Source organism: Homo sapiens, chromosome 8, assembly GCF_000001405.40.
Source record: "Homo sapiens chromosome 8, GRCh38.p14 Primary Assembly".
Lineage (NCBI taxonomy): Eukaryota > Metazoa > Chordata > Mammalia > Primates > Hominidae > Homo > Homo sapiens.
Window position 1 is genome coordinate 102,631,069 of NC_000008.11, and position 6,000 is coordinate 102,637,068.

At 45.7% G+C, this 6,000-nt stretch overlaps 2 annotated features.

Moving 5' to 3' along the window:
* Positions 3,000-3,500: an enhancer, noted in NCBI's record as "H3K4me1 hESC enhancer chr8:103646296-103646796 (GRCh37/hg19 assembly coordinates)". NCBI's record gives its function as "activates a minimal SCP1, AML or CMV promoter by ChIP-STARR-seq in naive H9 embryonic stem cells {active_cell/tissue: H9 hESC(naive)}" and the evidence as "EXISTENCE:reporter gene assay evidence [ECO:0000049][PMID:30033119]".
* Positions 3,501-4,001: an enhancer, noted in NCBI's record as "H3K4me1 hESC enhancer chr8:103646797-103647297 (GRCh37/hg19 assembly coordinates)". NCBI's record gives its function as "activates a minimal SCP1, AML or CMV promoter by ChIP-STARR-seq in naive H9 embryonic stem cells {active_cell/tissue: H9 hESC(naive)}" and the evidence as "EXISTENCE:reporter gene assay evidence [ECO:0000049][PMID:30033119]".

A 6,000-nucleotide genomic window follows, 5' to 3' on the forward strand; every position in this document is an offset into this window, starting at 1 on the left:
TTACCAATGCGATGACTCTACCCAAATTTGAATGGGAAGATAGTGTGAAGAAGCAAGGTCTAAAGATTTCTAGTCCTGTGAGGATGGGGGAGGGGTGGCTGCTCCATCAGGTTCCAGAACCCACCATTCAGCTGCTGTAATGATGGTGGAATCAGCTGTAGTGTTTGCTGCTGGGGCAGCAGCAGGGGTATATTCATTAGATATGCTGCAGTTTGAACCTGAGTGCTGATTCTGGCCTTCAGGACCAGTTTCCTGGATTTCCTGGAGATTCTGTGAGCTATCTAGTGTCCTGTAAAAAATTCTCCCTTTCTCTTTTTAACTTAAAATACCCAGACTTAGTTTCTGTTGTTTGTAACAATGAAATATGATTGATAAGAAATACTTGGGTTGTCTCAGCATTTGTTATTTTAAATAATACTGTGGCCAAGATCCTGAACATAACTCTTCGCACATATCTATTGTATTTACTTAGTATAAATTCCTAGAAGTAGAATTCCTGAATTGAAATATAAGCATTTTTCAGGCTCTTGATAAACATTGCCAAATTATAGTCCAGAAAATTAGGAGTTTATAGTGTCATATTTTTGCAGGTTTTTGTAGAGGTTATGTGTATAACCTCTACACATAACATCTAGATGTTATATGTATAACCTCTACACATAACGTCTAGATGTTATATGTATAACCTCTACAAATATATATATAATTACATATATAATTACATATATAATTACATATATATAATTACATATATAATTATATATATAATTACATATGTAATTACATATGTAATTATATATATAATTACATATATATAATTACATATGTAATTATATATATAATTACATAAGTAATTATATATATAATTACATAATTTTTTATATGTGTAATTACATATATATAATTACATATATATACAAAATTTTATATATATATAATTTTCCCAGTTTTCATTCATTCATTCAACAAACACAAACACTTACTATGTTTCAGGAACTGTGCAAGGCCCTTAAAAATAAGTATGTATTTAATTAAGTGTAGGAGGAAGTTAGAAGGACTATAGCAGAGGAGTTAGGGACTTTTAACTCTCAACAAATAGCACATCTCTTCTCAGCTAAACTAAATGCGCAATAAGACAAAATAGTACAGCATTTGGGGTCAAAACTATTACCTTTATTACATTGATATTGGAAAATAAATCTGACTTATATTTGCAGGTAAATGAGCTTCCTAATTTTGAACCCCCAAATCAGGCAGGCTTGCCCACCCTGCTAGAGGAGCAGAACATAACTTGCACTCCTTGTTGGAAACTAGAACCTAAGGGAGAGCAAAGAGGAAGAAGTTGTGGTCTGTCTTACAAAATCACCAACCTGGCAGGGTCTCACCCCATTCCAAGGGAGTAAGGTCGCAGGAGAGGTCACCGGGAACTTACAGTCCGTGGAGTTACTGACATCTGGAAGGGAGCATCAGGAATGAGGTATAACAAGTTGGGGAGGGGACTGCCTAGCAGGGGTGAGGAAAGCTTCCCAATTTCACCCAAAGGACAAGTGGTGGAACCGGCTATGTCAGCACACATCAAGCATGCGGAACCGATCTTCAAGTTCTGTATCTCATAGAAAATGTCTGCAGGCAGAGCAGCCAGCGCTTGCCATCAACAAAGGGGAACAGATATCAGATGTTGTCAGTATACATCCAGTTCTGCCTAGGGAAGAATCACTCCTCCCCCTGGAAGCCTGAGCTTCCTGGCTGGGACAAGGACCTCCTCCCCTGTAGCAGAGCCAGGCAGCTCTTCCCCAAATTGGCTTCCTCGTCCTTCTGGGCACAGCTGGGTGACATCTTCCAGTGTCTCCCGGAGTTACGTATGGCCATGTGACTCATTTCTGGCCCATGGAAAGTAGGCACAAGGGCTGTACCATCTCCAGATGTGCCCCATGCAGCAGGTTGAATCGTGTTCCCTCCAAAATTCATGTCCACCAGAGCCTCAGAAAGTGAGCTCACTTGGAATAAGGGCCTTTGCAGGTGTAATTAAGGTAAGGATCTTGAGATGACTTCCTGGATTCGGATGGGCCCTAAAGCCAATGACAGGTGTCCTTAGACAGCAAAGGAGAAGAAGACACAGAGAGACACAGGGGACAGGGCCTCGCTAAGACCAAGGCAGAGGCAAGAGCCAAGGCATGGCAAGGATGGCCAGCAGCCCCCAGGCGTGGAATGGGCTCCTCCTTAGAGCCTCCAGAAGGAATCAGCTTGGACTTCTGGCTTTCAGAACTGTGAGCGAGTACATTTTTTTTTTTTTTTTGAGACGGAGTCTCACTCTGTCACCCAGGCTGGAATGCAGTGGCACGATCTGGGCTCACTGCAAGCTCTGCCTCCTGGGTTCACGCCATTCTCCTGCCTCAGCCTCCCGAGTAGCCTACAGGCGCCTGCCACCACGCCCAGCTAATTTTTTCGTATTTTTAGTAGAGACAGGGTTTCACCATGTTAGCCAGGATGATCTGGATCTCCTGACCTCGTGATCCACCCGCCTCGGCCTCCCAAAGTGCTAGGATTACAGGAGTGAGCCACCGCGCCCGGCTGCGAGTACATTATTGTTATTTTAAGCCACCGAAGTGCTGTAGCGGCAGTTTGGTAAAGCAGCCCTAGCAACTGATAGGGGGCATAAAACTCTCCCTGCCGTCTCTCCTGCTCTTTCCCCTCTGGCCGGCTGGCACGGTAACAGTCTCTGGGGTGATGTTGGAAACCACAGGCAGAGGCTGGGGTTCCAGAGATGGAATGTGCGTGGATTCCCGAGTCACTGCTCGGAGGGAGCAGGAACACCTGCCCACAGGGCAAAAGCAACATTAACTACAGTACACAGGAAAAAAACAGGAAAAAAAAATTTCTGGATCATCTGTTACAGTGGCCAAATACCTTAACTAATATCCCCCATAACTAATATCCAGCAGAAAGTAATAAACTGTCATTCTCTATATCAGCATAGTATGGGGAAAAATTACGAACAAAAAATTAAATAAAAAGATAAGAAATTAAGTTTAAATTAAAAAAAAATTTTTAAATGTCATTCTGGCTTGGACAGCAGTCTTGTGGAATTTGTAATTTTAGTCTGTTGCTGAGAGACGGACCCTCTGTGAATACACGGAAAAAGTCCTCTGGTCAGAACTGGGAAGCTGAGAATAAGAGTCTTCCCCTCCAAAATGTATACAAAACTGGAGGTCAGGGGCCCTGCCGCACTCAGCCTGCATCTTGCGGGTATCCCCATTCATGGGCTGTCTCTCCCACTCCACCTAAATCTGGCCAGTCTGTACCAGCAGAGGCCTGCGGAGGGCAGGAGTGTGTGATAGGTGGGCTCAGGGGACGTGAAGACCTGTGCTAGGTGGAAACACCGTGTGGTGTGTCACTGAGAGACATCTTTGCCTCCAAAAGGAGACCTGTGCATGCTGTGGCGCAGGCTAGGAGGGCAGGGGGGAGGGGCAGGCCCTTTTCCAGAGAGAAAGCAGATGACAACAAGGCCAAGAAGGATGGGCGTCGAGCTAGAGCATCCGACCTGCAAGCAGGGCTGCACTGCCCAGCATTCCTGCCACCTCCACACGTGTCTCTGAGTGTGTAAGTGGCTCTTTTAGGGGAGCCTGCCGTTGTTACTGGATCTGTAAAGGCATTCTGGGACTCTCCACACCAGCTCTGAGCTCCTCGAAGGCAGGAATGTGATACCCCTGGCGTTTGTAGTTCACGGGAGGCAGCGTTGGTGGATGTGCTGGCCTAGGAGGCTATGGTCAGATCATGAAAATCTTCTGAATGCTGTGAGAGGTTTGGACCCCACTCTATGGGTAATGGGGTGGCTCTCAGGAGGAATCTTTAAATTCTGTATTTTACCCCTGAGAGGATATGAATTTATAATACCCCATTGTTCAGCACAAGAAGAGGCACTCAGGCAACTGACATGAGGAAATACTTGCCCTGTAGCAGCTGCTCACACTACGGTGTAGGACAAACCCAAAACTGGGGCAAGACAGCACAGCCAAAGGTGTGCACTTAACCAGGGACTTAATCTAAACACAACCAGCAAAGAAAAACTCAAAGCGATCCATCAGCCAAAACCAGAACACCAAGTGGTGGGGACGAACGGCAGAATTTCTGACCTCTTGGTTCAGCCAGGCCCCAGTAAAAACCAACAAAAGGGACAAATCAGGGGGAAAAAATCTGTATTTTAGACTGCTAATTCTGGAAGCATGGCCTGTACAGAGCAAGACCACCGTAAACATTTGTGTAGCTGAAAGCAAAAGTCAGTATTAATGCTCATCACATAACATGTTTCAGTTTCTATCCCTTAAACACACACACACACACACCACATACCCCAAAAGCATGGATATCCTGTGAATGGCTGGTTTCTCACTGTGAAAGGAAAATAAATCTTGGGGTCACTAAGCTAAAGGGAAAACTCATGCTGGGAACTGCTTAGGACCAACCTGCCTCCCATTCTATTCAAAGTCACCCCTCTCCTCGCTGACATAGATGCATATCTGATTGCATCCTTTGCAAAGGCTAATCAGAAACTCAGAAGAATGCAACCATTTTTCTCTCACCTATCTGTGACTTGGAAGCCCCGCCCCACCCCTTCAAGTCTTCCTGCCTTTGCTTCAAGTTGTCCTGCCCTTGTAGACCGAACCAATGTACTTCTTACATATATTGATTGATGTCTTATGTCTCCCTAAAATGTTTAAAACTAAGCTGTGCCCCGACCACCCTGGGCACATGTCATCAGGAATTTCTGAGGCTGGGTCAGGGACACATCCTCAACCTTGGCAAAATAAACTTCCTAAGTTAACTGAGATCTGTCTCAGATTTTCTGGGTTCACACTGTGGTTTCCCCAGGCTGCAGTCCGAGTGCAGTGCTCTGCTGCCTGAGAGCTGGCCAATGACAGAGGTCCCTGAAGGTGAGGGTTGGAAGTGCCACGTCTGATGTCAGAAAAAAGGCTGCTTCAGCGGGGTGCGGTGGCTCACGCCTGTAATCCTAGCACTTTTGGGAGGCTGAGGTGGGCAGATTGCTTGAGCTCAGGATTTCGAGACCAGCCTGAGCAACATGGCGAAACCCTGTCTCTACTAAAAATGCAAAAACTAGCTGGGCATGGTAGTGCACGCCTATAGTCCCAGCTACTCAGGAGGCTGAGGCAGGAGAATCACTTAAGCCCAGGAGGTGGAGGTTGCGGTGAGCCAAGATCATGCCACTGCACTCCAGCCTGGGTGACAGACTGAGACTCTGTCTCAAAAAAGGAAAAAAAAAAAAAGAAAAAAAGAAAAAAAAGGCTACTTCAGTCCCCCAGTAATGTCCCAGCATCCTCAGTTTCCTCCATGAGCGTAAGCACAGGCCTTTGAGCAGGGATGGCAGCCAGGACTCAGTCAGCAGGCAGCTCTGCCTAGCAGCTGATGTGGAGAAGATTTCAGGCCAGTGAGGTTTCCCTGGAATCCAGTTTTGGTTTTTCTTTCCATCCCTTATTCCCTTCTCTTCCTTCTCTTGTCTGGCCTGAGGAGCCAGTTCGTGGTTCTTTGCTATGGCAGCCCGAGCAAACAGATACAAACTCTTTCCAGGTGGCTCCAGGATGGGCCCTTTCCCTCGCCTGCCCTGCCATGGGCATTAATCATCAACAGGAGTTGTATGTGTACCATGGAGAGGAAGAAGACATTGCTAGACAAGAGAAGTAATAAGAGCAGAAACAGGCATTGACAGGATACTCTTGCAGTGGGGATGGGAGGTGGGAGTTAGGATAACAGTGCTAACTAACATTTATCGAGCACCTTCTATATACAGGCTAATTCCAATGCAGTATGTCTGCTCACCCCTGAAACAATTCTTTGGAGGTGAGTCTCAATATCACGTCCATTCTATCTACACCCGAGAGTAATGGCTTGGGAAAGTTAAACGTTATGTCCAAGACTAGATAAGTGGGGAAGCCCATGGGTTGAACCCAGGATCACAATGGTTTGTTTTCAACTTTCCAAGCACAG